At 40.5% G+C, this 22,536-nt stretch overlaps 1 protein-coding gene across 1 annotated transcript; it reads right to left on the bottom strand.

Moving 5' to 3' along the window:
- Window positions 1-2,205: 2,205 nt before the first annotated feature.
- Window positions 2,206-12,924, bottom strand: LOC105379522 (zinc finger protein 717-like; the record flags this gene model as incomplete). The annotated part of the gene is made up of 4 exons (XM_047442795.1): window positions 12,910-12,924; window positions 11,878-12,004; window positions 11,544-11,636; window positions 2,206-2,264 (listed from the first exon to the last, which is right to left on the bottom strand). Coding segments are annotated over exons 1-4 (294 nt in total), but the record flags the coding sequence as incomplete, so codon positions are not given.
- Between the last annotated feature and the right edge of the window lie 9,612 nt (window positions 12,925-22,536).

Below are 22,536 nucleotides of genomic sequence, written 5' to 3'. Positions count from 1 at the left end.
TTGCAGTCCCAATCTTTATTTTCCTTTCACACTTAGAAGACCAAATACAATGTGGATGTAAATAGTTGTGTTGTTTAGCAAGTAATGACAAGAAAAAGTCTGAATATGTTCACTACAGATGCAAGCGTCTGATTTTATTTCAAATATTTTGCATCCAAGTTTGTTTACATACACAGATATTAAACCTACAGATACAAAAAGCTGAGTGTACTTACAAATTAGTAGCTCTACACAGGCAGCATAAAATTCTCTTTGTACATGCCAAAAACATTCTGTGTCCACCCAGGGTGAACACAGCCTCTTCACAAACAGGGTGTAAATAAGGAGGTTCACTAAGTACAGGAAAGTTACATGACCATATTGGCATTTTAACAGCCATTCCTGAGAAAGAGAATGGGAAAGGGCTTAAGAGTCAGAGGAGAGGAAAAGAGAAAGACAGATGACCTCCTACATCAGAAGATGGAGGAGTGAGAATACAGAATAGGGAAGCAATAGTTAAAAGGAAAACAAGGAGAAACAGGATTTGATGTCAATTTGCTGTGCAGAGGGTAAAAAGGGGAGTTTTATTTCCAGGCTATCTGCCATGATTACAGCTAGTTTGTTACTGGTGATGTGAAATTTGGAAAAATAAAAGAACAATATGATGGCCAGAAGTGATACAGACTTGGACACGTCATGTTGGAAATATCTGAGGTCCCATATGTAGGGATGCCCAACTGGCAATTGGGAATACAGTTCCAGAGTTCACAAGATAGATCAAAGCTGGAGATAAAGATTTTCAAACTATCAGAATTTCAATGGTACCTGAATCCATCAGACCAAATGAACCTAAGAGAATGAAAGGATAAAAAGGAACAAGTACAGAATCCACAGAATCCCTAATATTTACAAAGAGAAATAAACTGTTAAGACCAAGAAGGACTTTTCTGAGTTTATTTCACAAATTAAGAAAAGCTCAATATTAGAAAGTCTACTAATACAATTCATCATATTCAGAGTCCTGAGGAGAAAAATCCTTTAATTGTCCACACAGGCATTAAGAAGAAAAGTCTTAGAAACAGATTCCAGGTTCTGATTTCTGCATGTAAGAAGCTTAGAAGTGGCCAGGTGCAGTGGCTCATGCCTGTAATCCCAGCACTTTGGGAGACCAAGGTGGGCAGATCACCTGAAGTCAGAAGTTCAAGACCAGCCTGGTCAACATGGCAAACCCCCATCTCTACTAAAAATAAAAAAAATTAGGCTGGGCGCAGAGGCTCACACCTGTAACCCCAGCACTTTGGGAGCTTGAGGTGGGTGGATCACCTGAAATCAGGAGTTTGAGACCAACCTGACCAACATGGCAAAACCAAACCTCTACTAAAAATACAAAAATTATCGAAGTTTGGTGGTGTTTGCCAGTAGTACCAGCTACTTGGGAGGCTGAGGCAGAATAATTGCTTAAACCTGGGAGGTGGAGGTTGCAGTAAGCCAAGATCAAGCCACTGTACTACAGCCTGGGTGACAGAGTGAGCTCTGCCTCAAAAAATTAAAAAATAAAATAATAATAATACAAAAATTAGCCAGCATGGTGGTAGGTGCCTGTAATCCCAGCTACTCAGGAGGCTGAGGCAGGGAGAATCACTTGAACCTGGGAGCCAGATGTTGCAGTGAACTGAGATTGCACGACTGCACTCCAGCCTGAGCAACAAGGTGAGACTCCATCTCAAAAAAAGGAAAAAAAAAAAGAATGGAAGTAATCAGTCCATCTTAACACATGAAAAGCTGAAAAGGTCAGGTGTGGTGGCTCATGCCTATCATCCCAGCACTTTGGGAGGCCAAAGCAGGAGGTTCCCTTGAGTCTAGGAGTTTGAGACCAGCCTGGGCAACATAGTGAGACCCCCAACTCTAAAATTTTTTTTTTTAATAAAACAAATAAAAGCTGAAGAGACTGAAAAATCTACAATCCTTTTTGGATTTGAAAGTGAAGAGAGGACATAGGGCAAGCCACTGCCCCCAAGATTGGAGACATAGAGAAGTGAATATAGGAATTTATGGCTTACAGGAACAGAGACTCACTACTGAAACCACCTTAGGAACCAGTGCTGGAGTAGAAAATCTTGAACAATAACTGGTGAATTGCTGAAGGTTCCATATGGACAACACAGGGAGGTAAAAACGCCAGGGATATCCAGGTATGAGGGAGCATAATATTGTAAAATTTACCTCCTGGAGCTTCACCAGGCTCCTGTGGCAAACACCTGAGAAAACTCGCTTCCTGCTTCCACCTTTGGGAAGGAAAAAGGAAAACCATCCTAAAATATGCCAGAGCACCCTGTTCTTAACAAGGCTTGTCCTCAGGAGAAATTACTGAACCTCAGCCTAACTTGCTCTCATATAATCAGATCCTAAATGACTTGCTGGAAGGGAAATAACGAACTCCAGCCTACTACACTCATCCCTAAAGGGGAAGATAAAAACAGAGAAACACATGTGAAGTTCATAGTCCAAAAGCAGAGACTCACTTAAACAATGAGGCCCAATCGTAAGACTCCAGAACACTTCTGCTATGGTCTGAATATTTGTTTCCTGCCCGACCCCCTGCAAAATGTGCCCGTTGAAACCAAGTCTCCAATGCACTAGAATTAAGGGGTGGGGCCTTTGAAATGTAATGGCAAAGCCATCCTGATTGGGATTAGTGCACTTATGAAAGAGGCCAAAGGAAGCTTCTTTGTCCATTCCAACATGAGAGGACATATAGCTGGCACCATCTATGAGGAATGAGTCACATCAAACACTGAATCTCTTGGAACCTTGACTTTGGACTTTCTAGCTTCCAAACTGAGCAACAAATTTCTGTTGTTTAGAAATTACTTGCTCTAAGTTATGCTGGTGGATGGACTAAGACAGCTTCCCCTCCCCTCTATAGCTTCTTATCATTACAGGATGCACTGTTACAGTAGTTCCTTTTACCTGGTATCTCATATCTAGGAGTAAAGAAAAAGCACAAGGCATACTAAAAGGCAAAAATCACAATTTGAAGTGACAGATCATCAGAACAAGACATAGCTATGATGCTGGAATTATCAGACAGGGATTTTTAAAAATATCTCTAAGTAGTATGCTAAGGGCTCTGATGAACAAAGGAGACAGCATTCAAGAACAGATAGGCAATGTAAGCAGGGAGACAGAAGTCCAAGGAAAGAACAAAAAAGAAACAGTAGAGATAAAAAAATAATGCAACAGACCTGTTGCCTTGATTGGCTTACTAGTAGGCTGAACACAACAAAGGAAAGAGTCTGTGAGCTCTGGAATTGTGAAAGAAACTTTAAAAACTGAAAACAATGGAACATAATATCCAAGAACAGTGGGACAGCTATAAAAGGTGTAACATAGAGTGACGAGAATACCAGAAGGAGGAGAGAGAAATAGAAGAAACATCAGCAACAATCATGTTTGACAACTTCCACTGTTAATGTCAGACACCAAATCAAAGATCCAGGAAGCTCAGAGCACTCCAGACAGTGTACATGCTAAAAACCTACACCTAGGCATATTATTCTCCAACTGTATAAAACATCAACTCCAAAAGAGACCAAAGGTGGAGTGGACAACATCTTACCTATAGAGAAACAAAGAAACAAAGGTAGAGAAACAAAGAAACAAAGGTAGAGAAACAAAGAAACCTGTAGACAAACAAACAAAAATCACATTCAGGCCAGGCTTTGTGGCTCATGCCTGTAATCCCAGTACTGTGGGAGGCCAAGTTGGGTGGATCACGAGGTCAGAAGATTGAGACCATCCTGGCTAACATGGTGAAACCCTATCTCCACAAAAAATACAAAAAATTAGCCAGGCGTGGTGGCAGGAGCCTGTAGTCCTAGCTACTCGGGAGACTGAGGCAGGAGAATGGTGTGAACCTGGGAGGCAGAACTTGCAGTGAGCCGAGATTACACCACTGCACTCCAGCCTGGGTGACAGAGTGAGACTCCGCCTCAAAAAAAAAATTACATTCAACATCTCAGAACCATGAAAGTAAAGAGAGTGGAATGAAATATTAAGCATGCTGAGAGAAAAAAAATCAAATTAGATTTCAGTGCCCTGTGAGATCTTCTTTCAAAAGTAAATGAGAAATAAAGCATTCCTTGGACAAACAAAAGTTGAGGAAACTTGTTACCAGGAAATGTGTTATGTGAGAATATGTTAAACATTATCTAGACAAAAAAAAGATACACATCTGAAAACTGAATCTACATTTCATTTATTTTTATTTATTTATTTTGAGACTGAGTCTCGCTCTGTTGCCCAGGCTGGAGTGCAGTGGCACAATCTCGGCTCACTGCAACCTCAGCCTCCCAGGTTCAAGCAATTCTCTGCCTCAGCCCCCCAAGTAGCTGGGATTACAGGAGCCCTCCACCACGCCTGGCTATTTTTTTTGTATTTTTATTGGAGACAGTGTTTCACCATCTCTGCTAGGCTGGTCTTGAACTCCTAACCTCGTGATCCACACATCTCGACCTCCCAAAGTGCTGGGATTACAGGTGTGAGCCACTACACCCGCCTGAATTTACATTTTAAAAAGAACATTAGAGAAGGAATAAGTGGTGGTAAAATCCCTTTTTTTTTTTTTTTTGAGATGGAGTCTCATTCTGTCACCCAGGCTGAAGTGCAGTAGTGTGATCTTGGCTCACTGCAAGCTCTGCCTTCTAGGTTCATGCTATTCTCCTGCCTCAGCCTCCCGAGTAGCTGGGACTACAGGCACCCACCACCACGCCTGGCTAATTTTGTTTTCGTGTTTTTAGTAAACACAGGATTTCACCATGTTAGCTAGGATGGTCTCAGTCTTCTGACCTTGTGATCTGCCCACCTCGGCCTCCCAAAGTGCTGGGATTACAGGCATAAGCCACCGTATCCGGCTGCTTACTTTTTATTCTTAATTCACCTAACATATAACAGTTTGTATATAATAACAATGTATGCAATTATATACTTTTTTTTCAGACGGAGTCTTGCTCTGTCGCCCAGGCTGGAGTGCAGTGGTGCAATCTCAGCTCACTGCAACCTCCACCTCCTCCCTGGTTCAAGCAATTCTCCTGTCTCAGCCTCCTGAATAGCTGGGACTACATGCGTGTGCCACCATGTCCAGCTAATTTTTGTATTTTTAGTAGAGATGGGGTTTCACTGTGTTAGCAAGGAGGGTCTCCATCTCCTGACCTCATGGTCCACCTGCCTCAGCCTCCCAAAGTGTTGGGATTACAGGCGTGAGCCAAGGTACCCAGCCAATTACATACTTTAATATATACAAGGCTATGTATGCTTACATATAAGTGAAACAAATAGCAACAATAACACAAGAGATGGGAATATGAGAGAAGCTGGTATTACATTTCTATTAGAAGGCCGTCAAAGTAACTGAACTAGTATAGTGTTATTTGAAGGTGGACTTGGATTTGTTGCAAGTCTATACTGCAAACTCCAGGGCAACTAGTAAAAACCAAAGTATAAAAATACCAAAAAGAGGAAACAGGCCAGGTATAGTGGCTTATGCCAAGGTAGAAAGATGGCTTGAGTCCAGGAGTTAGAGACTATCCTGAGCAACACAGTGAGACCCTGTCCCTACAGAAAAGGCCAGGTATTGTGGTGCATACTTGTAGTCCTAGCTAATTGCATACTTGTAGTCTTAGCTAATGACTTACTTGTAGTCCTACCTAATTGCATACTTGTAGTCCTAGTTAATTGCATACTTGTAGTCCTAGTTAATTGCATATTTGTAGTCCTAGTTAATTGCATACTTGTAGTCCTAGTTAATTGCATACTTGTAGTCCTAGCTAGTTGGGAGGCTGAGGTGGAAAGATCACTTAAACCCACGAGGTTGAGTCTGCAGGGAGCCATGACCACACGACTGCACTCCAGCCTGGGTGAATGCTGTCTCAATTTAAAAAAAAAAGTAATGAGGGGAAATAAAAATCATATAAAATCATAAACTCCATAAAAGGCAGAAAAAGAGTGGAGGACAAAGCAAGAACAAAGAACAATAGGAGTGAATGGAAAATGATATGGCAAAATTAACCCAACTGTATAATCACTTTGAATGTCATGGTCTAAATGCACCAATGAAAAGACAAGTTGTTAAAGCCCATCAAAATAAAGGCACACCTCACTTTATCGAGCTTCACTTTATTTTGCTTGGCAACATCACCTTTTTAACAAATTAAAGATTTGTGGCCACAAAGTGCTCAGCAAGTCTGACCAGCACCATTTTTCCAACACCGTGTGCTCACTTCACATCTGTGTCACATCTTTTGGCAATCCCCACAATCTTTCAAACATTTTAGTTATCACATCCGTTATGATGATCTGTGATCAGTGATTTCTGATGTTACTATTGGAATTGTCTCAGTGTGCTGGAACTCTATGGAAGACAGTAAACACGATGGAAAAGTGTTGTGTTTGACTGCTTCATTGGCTAGTCATTTCCCTATCTCCATTTCTCTCTTCCAGCCCCCCATTCCCCGAGATACAACAATGAAATTAGGCCACTTCACCCTGCAGTGGCCACCATGTGTTCAAGTGAAAAGAAGTGTGCACATCTGTCACTTCAAATTATCAAGCTTAGTGAAGAAAGCATGTTGGAAGCTAAGACAGGCCAAAGCTAAGCTTCTTGCATGAGCTACCCAAGTTGTGAATGCAAAGAAAAAGTTCTTGAAGGAAGTTATAGGTGCTACTCCAGTGAACACATGAATGATTTTTAAAAAACAAAACAGCCTTTTTACTGACACAGAGAAAGTCTGAGTGGTCTGCATAGAAGATCAAACCAGCCCCAACATTCCCCTGAGACAAAGCCTAATCCTGAGAAAGGCCCTAACTCTCTTCAATTCTATGGAGGAGAACAGAGGTGAGGAAGTTTCAGAAGAAATGTTTGAAGCTGGCAGAGGTTGGTACATGAACTTCTAGGAAAACAGCCATATCTGTGACATTAAAGTGCGAAGTGTGCTGTAAAAATGGGAACAAGAAAGCCTGCATGATAGCACTTCTGTTACAGCATTGTTAAGACCTTCTTGTTGGTAGGCCAGGAAGTAATGGTCACCATTTTTGTCCATATTCTCCTAGACTGAGCATGGAGAAATCTATAATAGTAGCCAGAGAGGTGTACATTGTGTGTTCAAGGGAAAAAAAAAGTGATTTTGAGGGAATGCATAGCCTGCCTCAGCTACATCAGATTTCTCTCCTATATGGGTTTGTTGATGCCTGCTGAGGTGTGACTTCTGGCAAAAGGTTTTCCCACATTCCTTACATTCATAAGGTTTTTCTCCTGTGTGTGTTCTCTGATGTATACTGAGGCCTGACTTCTGGGAGAAAATTTTCCTACATTCATTACATCTAAAGGGTTTTTCCTCTGTGTGAGTTCTGTGCTGTACAAAGGGTTTTGACTCCTGGGAGAAGGTTTTCTTACATTCAAATGTCTTCTCACCTGTGTGAATTCTCTGATGTATGGTGAGAACTGCCTTATGGTAAAAAGTTTTCCTACATTCATCACATTCACAGGGTTTCTCTCTTGAGTGAATTCCCTGATGCATATTGAGGTTTGACTTGTGACAAAAGGTTTTCACACACTCATTACATTCGTAAGGCTTTTCTCCAGTATGGGTTCTATGATGGACAGTGAGGACTGACTTCTGACTGAAGGTTTTTCCACATTCGCTACATTCATAGGGTTTCTCCCCTGTGTGAATATCTGGATGCTTCCGAAGATTTGCCTTCTGATGAAAGGATTTTCCACATTCATTACATTCATAGGGCTTTTCCCCAGTGTGTGTTCTCTGATGTATAATAAGGTATGATTTCTGACAAAAAGTTTTTCCACATTGGTTACATCCATACTGTTTCTCCCCTGTGTGAGTTCTCTGGTGTACGGTGAGGAATGACTTGCGATGAAAGGTTTTTCCACATTCATTTCATACGTAAGGTTTCTCCCCTGTGTGAGTTCCCTGATGTGTGCTGAGATTTGACTTCTGACGAACGGTTTTCCCACATTCATTACATTAATTGAGTCTTTCCCCTGTGTGAGTTCTCTTGTGTATCCCAAGGTTTAACTTATTGATAAAGGTTTTCTCACATTCATTACATTCATAGGGTTTTTTGCTAGCATGAGTTCTCTGATGTATAGTTAGAAATGACTTATAACTTACAGTAAAAGGATTTTCCACATTCATTACTTTCATAGGGTTTTTCCCCTGTGTGAGTTCTGTGAGGTACTGTAAGTTATGACTTGTGGCTATACGTTTTTCCACATTTGTTACATGCATATGTTTTTTCCCCAGTATGAGTTCTCTGATGGACAGTGAGGAATGACATATGGTGAAAGGTTTTCCCACGTTCGTTGCATTCGTAGGGTTTTTCGCCTTTGTGAGTCCTTTGATGGACAGTGAGGAACGACTTTTGGTGAAACGTTTTCCCACATTCATTGCATTCATAGGGTTTTTCTAATGTGAGTTCTCTGATGTATCCTGAGGTTTGACTTATTGATAAAGGGTTTTCTACACTCATTACATTCATAGGGCTTTTCCCCTGTGTGTGTTCTCTGATGGACAGTAAGCTTTGACTTATGGTTAAATGCTTTTTCACAATGGTCACATGCATAGGGCTTTTGCCAGGTGTGAGTTCTATGATGTATTGTGAGGTATGACTTCTGGCTAAAGGTTTTTCCACATTCACTACACTGATAGGGCTTTTCCCCTGAGTGAGTTCTGTGATGTAAAGTGAGAAGTGATTTACAGTGAAGTTTTTCCACATTCAATACATTTGTAGGGCTTATCCCCAGTGTGAGTTCTCTGATGTAAAGTGAGGAATGACTTACAGCGAACGGTTTTTCCACATTCATTGCATCCATAGGGCTTTTCCCCTGTGTGAATTCTCTGATGGATAGTGAGGCTGGACTTATAGCTGAACAATTTTTCACACCAGTTACAGGCATAAGGTTTTTCCTCAGTAGGCATCTTGTGCTGTATCATGAGGTCTGATTTGCTAATGGAGGGTTTCTCACATTCAACACATTCATGGGGTTTCTCTCCTGTGTGTGTTTGCTGATGTTTACTGAAGTCAGACTTTCTACAGCAAGTTGGCTGTCTTACCTGAGTTATCCCTTGGACAATAATAGCTGAGTTATTACAGGCTTTCTCATATTCATTATATTTACCAAAGGTCTGTCCTATATGAACCCTCTTATGTATAAAGAACATTGCCTCCATGTTGAAGGTTTTCCCTTGTTCATTACATTGAAAAGGCTGCAGCAGAGTTTGAATCTTGTGATGCTGAGTAAGATGTTCATGATGTCTGTGGGATCTCCTGGTTATATCAGGGATATGAGGTTTCTCTCTAGACTGTGTCTCACCAGGCTTAATAGGTAAAAGCACGTTCTGGCAAACATTAAACTGCCCAGGCTTCACTCCTGAACTGTTTCCATTATTTATAATCAGATTTAAAACATGGTTTGAGTTAAAATTAAATCTTTTTCCTAATTCAACTCTCTCCTGAGTTGATGTCTTGCTGTTGGTGATTACAATTTGCCAGAAAAATCTATCATGACTTTCATGGCTCCTTTCAATAAGGTCATCAGTGATCTGGACAGCTGAAATGAGAAAAACGTATCCATGAACCACACAGGAGCATGTCTTACAGAATGCTTGTGTAAAGGTGAAAAAAATTACTTTCTATCCCAGTGGAGTAAGATTTGATAAAAATTAATAATGGGTATTGGTTTTATATGCATATGGTTCCTGTTCCTTCTGACATCATGTAATAAATCAGTATATTTTCTAATGTTCAATTGAGTTTTTCTTTGCATTTTGAAGTTTTCCTTTTCTTTTTTATTTCACAAAGAATTATTTGGTAATAATATGCATCTACTTCCTACTCATAGGTTTTAATAAGTGCTCATTATCTGTCATTTGTTTTCTCTCTTTTTTTCTATTTATTCATATAACAATAGTGGCTGTTTTAATAGTTGCTATTTTTTCATCATTCTTCTTTGAAGATAGCCAGTTTTTCTTGGGTCAGCAACTGGCAGGTACAGGAGATGGCCATTTTTCTGTCTCCTAAGCATGGAAGTAGCTTGTAGACAGGATTTTGCCTATATGTTAACTTTTCACTCCTCCCTGAGAATGGTTAAATGTGTCTGGAGGTTTTCCAAGCAGAAAATATCTTATTCCCCATGTTAAACAAAAACAGATCCTGGCAAATTCCTACTTAAACATGGCATCTCCTGCTTCCCAGAACCATAATAGGCAAAGAAGCTCCAGTCAAAAAACCACACTAGTGATCTGAAGGATTGGTTCTGCAACTCAGGCTGTGCCCGTCATCTTTGAAAAGTGTATTTCTGGTTCCTTCTGAGATCAACAGCTCTGTCCCTCTCCACTCACACACCCCTGCTTGATAATTCACCATTTTTGAAGGGTTTTATTTTGTGTTTTGGAGTTTCAGATGTCACACAGCTATATATAAAAATGAAGTTTCCTGTACATTTCTCATCTTCAAATGGTAACTACAAACTCCACTCTCAAACAGAAATCTGAGCCCTTCAACAGGAAATCATTGGTTTCTTTGGACTTGAGACCCAGAATCTTCTGGTTCTCCTCCCAAGTCCAGCACCACCCCTATCCAAGCCCCATGATGGGTTCTCCTCAGCTTCATAATTTCTTTCTGAGACAGGATCTTACTCTGTTACCCAGGCTGGAGTGCAGTGTTGCTATCATAGGTCACTGAAGCTTCAAGCTCCTGAGCTCAAGCAATCCTTCCACCTCAGCCTCCCAAGTATAAAAACTGGGATTAAAAACCCATGTCACCATACTCAGCTACTATTTTGTGTGTGTGTGTGTAGGTGGGAGTCTACAAGGATCAATTAAGGCCAGAAGTTCGAGACCAGTCTGGGCAATAGAACAAGACCTCATCTCCACAAACAATAAAAAATTAGCCAGGTGTGGTGGCACACACCTGTAGTCCTAGCTACTTGGGAGGCTAGGCTGTGAGGAACACTTGATCCCAGGAGTTCATCGTTACAGTCAACTATAATCATGCCACTGCACTTGAGTCTGAGAAACAGAGTGAGAACCATCTGTTTAATAAAAAATAAAACAAGAAGAATAAAGCTACAGCTTAAAAAAGAAACACTATTTTCATCATCATTGTTATAATGACTGATTCTCAAAAATTGCTTAAGATACATTCAAAGGATAAATAAATGCATAAATGTCTAAAAAATTTTTTTAAGACACTACATCAGAATAGAGGAAAAGGGGGAAATAGAGAAAATAAATAGCAAAGAAAAAGGCTTAAAGAGAGGATGGCAGGGATTGGATTTGGGGTAAATAGAAGAAGATACTCAGAAAAATAAGAGACTGGGATATATGCATGACAGTTACCCCTGGGGACTATATAATGGACATTTAATGCAGACTAACAGTCTTCAGGTCGAAGACCTAGGGAAAAAAGTGGTGAAAACAAGATAACACTACCAAAATCTGCTGGGCATTACTCCTCCAGGCCTCCCAACCCTGTATTCACTGACTGACCTGAAAGTCTCAGGTTTGGTATTTCTTCTACTATCCATGTCTCTGCTCCTTGCTCTAGCTTGAAGATCATCTCAGGTTTGGTAATGCAATGCCCTGGTAACGAGAAACAATGGAATACTTTGTCAAACCACTAAGTCAAATCCTTTTCAGAATGACAAGAGCTGGGCTTCAGGGACTGTGTAATGAAGGAGCCAATTTGAACATTTCATTAGAATAATGACACATTTTTCATCAACCAGAATCTTACAAGTAAATATTATTATACCTTAAAAGGGTTTCTATATTTACCAACAACAATACACATTCCTGGGAGTTACTGGGAAGTTTCACTCACCCAATGATACCAGGCTGCTGTAGGTCTCCACAATCACGTCCCTGTAGAGGGTCCTCTGAGCATCATCCAGGCCCTGACACTCCTCCCAGGTGAAGTGCAGAGCCACATCTTCAAAGGACACCAACCCCTGTAATGGCACATATTTCCTCAAGTCAAAGCATCAGCCCAGGGTCAAAAGAACAAGAATCTGGGAATTCACTCTTTTGTGTGTCCATGTGTCTTATATGTATTTTATATAAGACGTAGTTTGTTTTGTACTGTTTATGGTGGGAGAAGGAGTAATCACAGTAGAAATATGCTTCCACTGTAATAACTTATGAATTAATAAAATTATATTACAAAGTTCACCTTATAGATCTAGAACCACCCTTGTTGCTAGGGATAAAAGTATAAACAAAATGCAAGACCCTCTCTCTTCAAAAATAATAAAAAAATATAGGCATAATGCTGGATGCCTGTAGTCCTGGCTACTCTGGAAGCTGAGGCTGAAGGATTGCTCAAACCCAGGAGTTTGACAGTGCAGTGAGTGATGATCACACCACTGCACTCCAGCCTGGCCAACAGAGAGCCTATCTCTCAAAAAAAAAGAGGAATAAAATTCTACTCCTCAAAGGAGCTCATGATCTGGTTATGAACATATAAGTATAAACACATACTGGGAATAATGTTTAGGTGAACTCATTGAGACACAAGTTCAATGCAGACTAAGATAAGAGAGAAGGAGAAAATAAATTTTGTTTATTTTGAATCAAGAGATTCCACTTTACTGAAAAATCAGGTGATTGGCTCTTCCACATGAACCATGAATTCTCATGACTATGAGAAAATATCAGAAGTCTACTGACAAAGGCAAAGCGAACACACACCACTTTAATGGAACTCTGGACAGCACCATGCCTAGATGAATGATCCTGGGCAGTGATGAAAGCTAAATGCAATATTTAAGGAATTGATTATGCAATGATTCTGCATTTAAATATTTGACTTAATTTCAAAAATTTTTATGCACCTATCATTTTTACATTACATTACTTCCTCAGTATCCATGGGGACTGATTCCAAGATACCCCCAGATACCAAAATCCACAGATTGGATAACTCTGTTATATAAACAAGTCTCATATTTACATATAACTTATGCACATACTCCTGTATACAGTCATGAGCTGCATAATAACATTTCAGTCAATGATGAAACATGTCTATCACAGTAGTCCCATAAGATGATGATGAAACATACACGGAAACCTGATATTGGCATTGCAGATGAAGTGCAGAAAATGATATTCAATAATGGCTCTGAGCCATCTGGTTACCCATATACCAAAAACATATAAATAAAAATATACATACCATGTAGGTTTTTGTAACACTATGATGTTCACAAAACAATGAAATTACCTAAGGTTGCATTTCTCAGAAAGTAATCCCATCAGTAAGCCATGCACGACTGAACTTAAAATCTTTAGATTACATATAATACTGAAGACAATATAATGCTACATAAATAGCTGTTATACTGTACTGTTTAGGAAATAATGACAAGAAAAATTTCTGTAGATGCTCTGCACAGAGACAACCATCTATTTTTGTGGGAATATTTTCAATCTGAAGTTGGCTGAATCTGCAGATGCAAAACCCATGGAAACAAAAGGGTGAGTATACTTAATTAAAATCATATACACTGGCATTTCAAAATTTCCTTTCTACGGGACAAAAAATTGCTGTATCCACCCAGTGTGAACACAGCCACTTCAAAAACAGGTGTAAATAAGGAGGCCCAGTAAGGACAGAAAAGTTACATGACCATATTGGCATTTTAACAGCCATCCCTGAGAAAGAGAATGGGAAAGGGCTTAAGGGAAAGCCAGAAGGGAGTAAAGAAGAAGACAGATGACCACCTACATCAGTACATCAGGACACGGAGTGTAAGTATACACAATAGGGAAGCAGTTCTTAAAAGGAAAAAAATGTAGAAACAGGATTTGGTACCAATTTACTGTGCAGTGGGTAAAAACGGGAGTTTTGTTTCCAAGTTATCTGCCCTGATCCAGCTAGTTTGGTACTGGTGCTGTGAAGTGAAATTTGCAAAAAAAATAAAAGAATGTGATAACCAGAAGTGACACAGACCTGGACATATCATGTGTGAAACATCTGACGTTCCATATGTGGGAATGTTCAACTGGCAATTGGGAATATAGCTCCAGTGGTTCAGAAGAGAGATCAAACTAAAGATAAAGATTTGGAAATTACCAGAATTTCAATGCTACCTGAATCCATCAGACCAAATGAAAATAAGAGAAGGAAAGAATAAAAGAAACAAGTACAGAATCTACAGAAACACTAACATTTACACTGGAAGAGAAATAGACTGTGAAGACCAAGAAGGAACTTTCTGAGTTTATTCCACGAATAAAGAAAAGTTCAATATTTAGAAGTCTAATATAATTCATCTTGATCATATTCCTGTGGAAAAAAATCATTTAACTGTGCACATAGGCATTGAGAAGATAGTTTTAGAAACATATTCCAGGTTCCTATTTCTGCATGTAAGAAGCTTGGAAGTAATCAATAATTACTTTACAATAATTAATTTTTATAACAAGCTTAACAACAAATTAATATGACACAATTAATCTTAACAAATAAAAAGCTGAAGAGACTAAAAAATCAACAATTCTTTCTAGATTTCAAACTTAGGGGAGGACACAGGGCAAACCACTGCCCCTAGGATTGCAGAGACAAAGAAGTGAATATAGTACTTAATGGCTTAAAGGAACATGGACTCACTACTGAAACCAACCTTGGAACCAGTGCTGGAGTAGAAAATCTCAAACCGTAACTGGTGAACGGCTGGAGGATCTGCGTGGACAACTCTAAGTGGTAAAAACTACAAGAGATAGAGTTACTGTTGGGGAGGGGGAACAATACTGTAAAATTGTCTCATGGAGCTTCACCAGGCTCCTGTGACAAATACCTGAGGAAACTCCACTCCTGCTTCAATCTTTCAGAAGGAAAAAGGAAAACCAGTTTGAAATATGCCAGAGCACCAAGTTCTTAACAAGGCTTGTCCACAGGAGAAACTACTTAACTTCAGCCTAATCTGCTCTAGTATAATCAGAGACTAAATAACATAGGGGAAGGAAATTACCCCTTCCACTGTAGCCCATTCTAGTCATGTTCCACCTAAGGTGGAAAATTAATTAAACAGAGGAACACTTCTGAGGTTCACAGTATAAACCCAATCATAGCATTCCAGAACACGGCTGCTGGGGCCTGCGTGTTTGTCCCTCACATATGGTACCAAAACGCTGCTCCTGAGGTCTGAATGTTTCTCCCTTACATAAGATTCCAGAACACTGCTATGAAGGTCTGAATGTTTGTCCCTTATAAAGGATTCCATAACATTGATGCTGGGGTCTGAATGTTTATCCTTAACCTAGGATTTCAGAACACTGCTCCTGGGGTCTGAATGTTTATCCTTAACCTAGGATTTCAGAACACTGCTCCTGGGGTCTGAATGTTTGTCCCTCACACAGGATTCCAGAACACTGATGCTGGGGTCTGAATGTCTGTCCCTCACGTAGAATACCAGAACACTGATAAGAGGGTCAGAATGTTTGTCCCTCACATAAGATTCCATAACACTGCTGCTGGGGTCTGAAAGTTTGTCCCTCACATAGGATTCCAGATCACTGCTATGAGGTTCTGAATATTTGTCCGTTACATAGGACTCCAGAACACTGCTGTCGTGGTCTGAATGTTTGTCCCTCACATAGGATTCCAGAACACTGCTGCTGGGGTCTGAATGTTTGTCCCTCACATAGATCTCCAGAACACTGCTGCGAGGGTCTGAATGTTTCTCCCTCACATAGGATTCCAGAACATTGTTGTGAGGGTCTAAAAGTCTGTCCCTCACATAGGATTCCAGAACACTGCTACGAGATTATGAATGTTTGTCCGTTACATAGGATTCTAGAACACTGCTGCCATGGTCTGAATGTTTGTCCCTCACATAGGATTCCAGAACACTGCTGCTGGGGTCTGAATGTTTGCCCTCACATAAGATTCCAGAACACTGCTCCCGGGGTCTGAGTGTTAGTCCCTCACATAGGATTGCAGAACACTAATGCAATGATCTGAATGTTTCTCCCTCACGTAGGATTTCAGAACACTGCTGCTGGGGTCTGAATGTTTGTCCCTCACATAGCATTTCAAAACACTGCTGCTGGGTTATGAATGTTTTTCCCTCACTTAGAATTCCAGAACACTAACGCAATGATCTGGATGATTGTCCCTCACATAGGATTCCAGAACACTGCTGCTGGGGTCTGAATGTTTGTCCCTCACATAAGATTCCAGAACACTGCTATGAGGGTCTGATTATTTGTCCCTCACATAGGATTCCAGAACCCTCCTGATGTGGTCTGAATGCGTGTCCCTCACATAAGACTCCAGAACACTGCTATGAGGGTCTGAATGTCCGTCATATAGGACTCCAGAACATGGCTGCTGTGTTCTGAAAGTTTTTCCCTCACATAGGATTCCAGAACACTGATTCCAGGGTCTGAATGCTTGTACCTCACATAGGATTCCAGAACACTGCTGCTGGGGTCTGGGTGTTTGTCCCACACATAGGATTCCAGAACACTGCTGGGAATGTCTGAATGTTTGTCCATCACATGGGATCCCAGAACACTGCTACTGGCTTCTGAATGTTTGTCCCCCACACAGGATTCCAGAACACTGCTGCTGTGGTCTTTTTTTTTCTTTTACTTTTTGTCTATTTAAAATTACTTTATTAATATTTATTTTTAATTAATATTTTTAATAAGACATTGCAAGTTTTTTGTAATGTAAAATGTGAGGGACAAACATTCAGACCAATGCAGTAGCGTTCTGGAATCCTATGTGAAGGACAAAGTATGCATACATTGTGAAAAGGTCAAATCTAGCTATTTAACAAATACATCAACTCACATAGTTATCATTTTTGTGATGAATACACATAATATTAACTTTCTATTTCTCAAGAATACAATGTGTCATCATCAATTACAATCACCTTGCTCTACAATACATCTCCTGAAATGTATTCCTTCTGTGTAACTCTAAGTATGTATCCTCTGATTAACATCACCGCAACTCCCCTTTACCCCTAGCTCTGATACCCACCAGTGTACTTTGTAATTCTATGAGATCAACTTTTTAACATACCAGTAGAAGTCATGTCATGATATATTTGTCTTTTTGTGTCTGCCCTATTTCACTTAACATATTGCCCTCCAGGTTCATCCATGTTGTTTACAAACGACAGGGTTTTCTTTATTTACTGCCAAATAGTATACCACATTTTCTTTCTTTTTTTAATTATATTTTCCGTATTGAATTATTTATATATATATATATTTATTATACTTTAAGTTCTCGGATACATGTGCACAACGTGCAGGTTTGTTATGTTTGCATACATGTGCCATGTTGGTGTGCTGCACCCAGTAACTCGTCATTTACCTTAGGTATATCTCCTAATGCTATCCCCCCTCCCCCTACCCCACAACAGGCCATGGTGTGTGATGTTCCCCTTCCTGTGTCTATGTGTTCTCATTGTTCAATTCCCGCCTATGAGTGAGAACATGTGGTGTTTGTTTTTTTGTCCTTGTGATAGTTTGCTGAGAATGATGATTTCCAGCTTCATCAATGTCCCTACAAAGGACATGAACTCATCATTTTTTAAGGCTGCATAGTATTCCCTGGCATATATGTGCCACATTTTCTTAATCCAGTCTATCATTGTTGGACATTTGGATATTACAGTTGGTTCCAAGTCTTTGCTATTGTGAGTAACGTCACAATAAACATACGTGTGCATGTGTCTTTATAGCAGCATGACTTATATTCTGTTGGGTATATGTCCAGTAATTGGACGGCTGGGTCAAACGGTATTTCTAGCTCTAGATCCCTGAGGAAACACCACACTGTCTTCCACAATCGTTGAACTACTTTACAGTCCCACCAACAGTGTAAAAGTGTTCCTATTTCTCCACATCCTTTCTAGCACATGTTGTTTTCTGACTTTTAAATGATCGCCATTCTAACTAGTGTGAGATGATATCTCATTGTGATTTTGATTTGCATTTCTCTGATGGCGAGTGATGATGATCATTTTTTCATGTGTCTGTTGGCTGCATAAATGTCTTCTTTTGAGAAGTGTCCGCTCATATCCTTCGCCCACTTGTTGATGGGGTTTTTTCTTGTAAATTTGTTTGAGTTCTTTGTAGATTCTGGATATTAGCCCTTTGTCAGATGAGTAGATTGCAAAAATTTTCTCCCATTCTGTAGGTTGCCTGTTCACTGGTATGCCTTTTGCTGCACAGAAGCTCTTTAGTTTAATTAGATCTCATTTGTCAATTTTGGCTTTTGTTGCCATTGCTTTTGTTGTTTAAGACATGAAGTCCTTGCCCATGCTTATGTCCTGAATGGTATTGCCTAGGTTTTCTTCTCGGGTTTTCATGGTTTTAGGTCTAACATTTAAGTCTTTAATCCATCTTGAATTAATTTTTGTATAAGGTGTAAGGAAGGGATCCAGTTTCAGCTTTCTACATATGTCTAGCCAGTTTTCCCAGCACCATTTGTTAAATAGGGAATCCTTTCCCAATTTCTTTTGTCAGGTTTGTCAAAGATCAGATAGTTGTAGATGTGTGGTATTATTTCTGAGGGCTCTGTTCTGTTCCATTGCTCTATATCTCTGTTTTGGTACCAGTACCTTGCTGCTTTGGTTACTGTAGTCTTGTAGTATAGTTTGAAGTCAGGTAGCGTGATGCCTCCAGCTTTGTTCTTTTAGCTTAGGATTGACTTGGCCATGTGGGCTCTTTTTTGGTTCCATATGAACTTTAAAGTGGTTTTTTTCAATTCTGTGAAGAAAATCATTGTTAGCTTCATGGGGATGGTATTGAATCTATAAATTACCTTGGGCAGTATGGACATTTTCACGATATTGATTCTTCCTATCCATAAGCATGGAATGCTCTTCCATTGGTTTGTGTCCTCTTTTATTTTGTTGAGCAGTGTTTTGTAGTTCTCCTTGAAGAGCTCCTTCACGTCCCTTGTAAGTTGGATTCCTAGGTAATTTATTCTCTTTGAAGCAACTGTGAATGGGAGTTCATTCATGATTTGGCTCTCAGTTTGCCTGTTATTGCTGTATAAGAATGCTTGTGATTTTTGCACATTGATTTTGTATCCTGAGACCTCACTGAAGTTGCTTACCAGCTTAAGGAGATTTTGGGCTGAGATGATGGTGTTTTCTAGATATACAAACATGTCATCTGCAAACAGGGACAATTTGACTTCCAAGAAATGACTAAGATCAGAGCACAACTGAAGGAGATAGAGACAAAAAACCCTTCAAAGAATCAATGAATCCAGGAGCTGGTTTTTTGAAAAGATCAACAAAATTGATAGACCACTAGCAAGACTAATAAAGAAGAAAAGAGAGAAGAATCAAATAGACACATTAAAAAATGATAAAGGGGATAGCACCACCAATCCCACAGAAATGCAAACTACCATCAGAGAATACCGTAAACACCTCTATGCAAATAAACTAGAAAATCTAGAAGAAATGGATAAATTCCTCAATACATAAACCCTCCCAAGACTAAACCAGGAAGAAGTTGAATCTCTTAATAGACCAATAACAGGCTCTGAAATTGAGGCAATAATAGCATACCAACCATAAAAAGTCCAGGACAAGAGGGAATCACAGCCTAATTCTACCAGAGGTACAAGGAGGAGAAGTTGCCATTCCTTCTGAAACTCTTCCAATCAAGAGAAAAAGAGGGAATCCTCCCTAACTCATTTTATGAGGCCAGCATCATCCTGATACCAAAGCCTGGATAAGACATAACCAAAAAAGAATTTAAGACCAATATCCCTGATGAACATTGATGCAAAAATCCTCAATAAAGTACTGGCAAACTGAATCCAGCAGCACATCAAAAAGCTTATCCACCATGATCAAGATGGCTTCATCCCTGGGATGCAAAGCTGGTTCAATATATGCAAATCAATAAACGTAATCCAGCATGCAAACAGAACCAAAGACAAAAACCACATGATTATCTCAACACAGGCAGAAAAGGCCTTTGACAAAATTCAACAGCCCTTCATGCTAAAAACTCTCAATGAATTAGGTATTGATGGGATGTATGTAAAAATAATAAGAGCTATTCATGACAAACACTCAGACATTATCATACTGAATGGGCAAAAACTGGAAGCATTGCCTTTGAAAACAGGCACAAGATAGGGATGCCCTTTCCCATCACTCCTATTCAACGTAGTGTTGGAAGTTCTGGCCAGGGCTATGAGGCAGGAGAAAGAAATAAAGGGTATTCAATTAGGAAAAGAGGAGGTCAAATTATCCCTGTTTGCAGGGGTCTGTTTGCCCTCACATAAGATTCCAGAACACTGCTGCTGTGGTCTGCTTGTGCCTCACATAGCATTCCAGAACACTGCTGCTATGGTCTGAGTGATTGTCCCTGACATAGGATTCCAAAACACTGCTACGAGGGTCTGAATGGTTTGTCCCCCACATAGCATTCCAGAACACCGTGGCGAGGGTGTGAATGTTTCCCCCTCACATAGGATTACAGAACACTCCTGCTGTGGTCTGAATGTTTGTCCCTCACATAGGATTCCAGAACACTGCAGATGGGATCTGAATGTTTGTCCCTTACGTAGGATTCCTGAACACTCCTGCTGTGGTCAGAGTGTTTGTCCCTCACATAGGATTCCAGAACACTCCTGCTGTGGTCTGAATGTTTGTTCCTCATTTAAGATTCCAGAACACTGATGCTGTGGTCTGAACATTTCTCCTTCACATAGGATTCCAGAACACAATTGCTGGGGTCTGAAAGTTTGTCCCTCACATAGGATTCCAGAATACTGCTAGGAGGGTTTGAATGTTTCTCCCTCACATAGGATTCCAGGCCACTCCTGCTGTGGTCTGAATGTTTTTCCCTCACATAGGATTACAGAACACTGCTAGTGTGGTCTAAATGTTTGACCCTCACATAGGAGTCCAGAACACTGCTGCTGGGTTGCAAGTGTCTCTCTCTCACATAGAATTCAGGAACACTGCTAAGAGGGTCTGATTGTTTGTCCCTCACATAGGATTCTGGAACACTGCTGCTGGGTTCTTAGTGTTTGCCCACACATAGGATTCCAGAACACTGCTGCTGTGGACTGAATGTTTGTTCCTCACAAAGGATTAAAGAACACTCCTGCAGTGGTCTGAATGTTTACCACTCACGTAGGATTCCAGAACACTACTGCAGGGTTCTGAGTGTTTGTCCCTCACATAGGACTCCACAAAACTGCTGCTGTGGTCTGAATATTTGTTCCTCACATAGGATTCCAGAACACTGCTACGAGGGTCTGAATATCTGTCCCTCAAATAGGATTCCAGAACATTCTTGCTGTGGTCTGAATGTTAGTCCCTCACATAGGATTCCAAAACACTGCTGCTGGGTTTTATTTCCCCTCACTTAGGATTCCAGAACACTGCTACGAGGGTCTGAATGATTGTCCCTCACTAGGACTCCAGAACACTGCTGCTGGAATCTGAATGTTTGTCCCTCACATAGGATTCCAGAATAATCGTGCTGTGGTCTGAATGTTTGCGCCTCACATAGTATTCCAGAACACTCCTGCTGTGGACTGAATATTTATCCCTCACTTTGGATTCCAGAACACTGCTTTTGGGTTCTGAGTGTTTGTCCCTCACGTACGATTCCAGAACACTGCTACATGGCTCTAAATGTTTGTCCCTCATGCAGAAATCCAGAACACTGCTGCTGGGTCTGAATAGTTGTCTATCACACAGGATTCCAGAACTCTGCTACGAGGGTCTGAATGTTTGTACCTCACATAGGTTTTCAGAACACTCCTGCTGTGGTCTGATTGTTTGTCCCTCACAAAGGATTCCAGAACATTCCTGCTGTGGTCTGAATGATTGTTCCTCACAGAGGATTCCAAAACACTCCTGCTATGGTCTGAATGTTTGTCCAGCACATAGGAATCCAGAACACTCCTACTATGGTGTGAAAGTTTGTTCCTTACATAAGATTCCAGAACACTGCTGCTGTGGTCTGAATCTCACAAAGGATTCCAGGACACACCTCCTGTGATATCAATGTTTGTCCCTCACACAGGATTCCACAACACTGCTGGGGGTTTCTGAGCGTTTGTCCCTCACATAGGATTCCCAAACACTGCTACAAGGGTCAGAATGTTTGTCCCTCACAGAGGATTCCAGAACACTACTGCTGGGTTCTGAGTGTTTGTCCCTCACATAGGACTCCACAACTCTGCTGCTGTGTTCTGAAGGTTTGTTCCTCACATAGGATTCCAGAACAGTGCTATGAGGGTCTGAATATTTGTCCCTCATATAGGATTAAAGAACACTTCTCCTGTGGTATGAATGTTTGTCCTCCACATAGGATTCCAGAACACTGCTGCTAGGTTCTGAGTGTCTGTCCCTCACACAGGATTCCAGAACACTGCTAGGAGGGTCTGAATGTTTGCCCCTCTCATAGGATATCAGAACACTCCTGCTGTGGCCTGATTGTTTCTCCCTCACAAAGGACTCCAGAACAC

The sequence above is a fragment of the Homo sapiens genome, assembly GCF_000001405.40.
Source record: "Homo sapiens chromosome 1 unlocalized genomic scaffold, GRCh38.p14 Primary Assembly HSCHR1_CTG3_UNLOCALIZED".
NCBI classification, from domain to species: domain Eukaryota; kingdom Metazoa; phylum Chordata; class Mammalia; order Primates; family Hominidae; genus Homo; species Homo sapiens.
The sequence above is the reverse complement of the archived record's forward strand: the minus strand, read 5'-3'. Positions and strand labels throughout refer to the sequence as shown.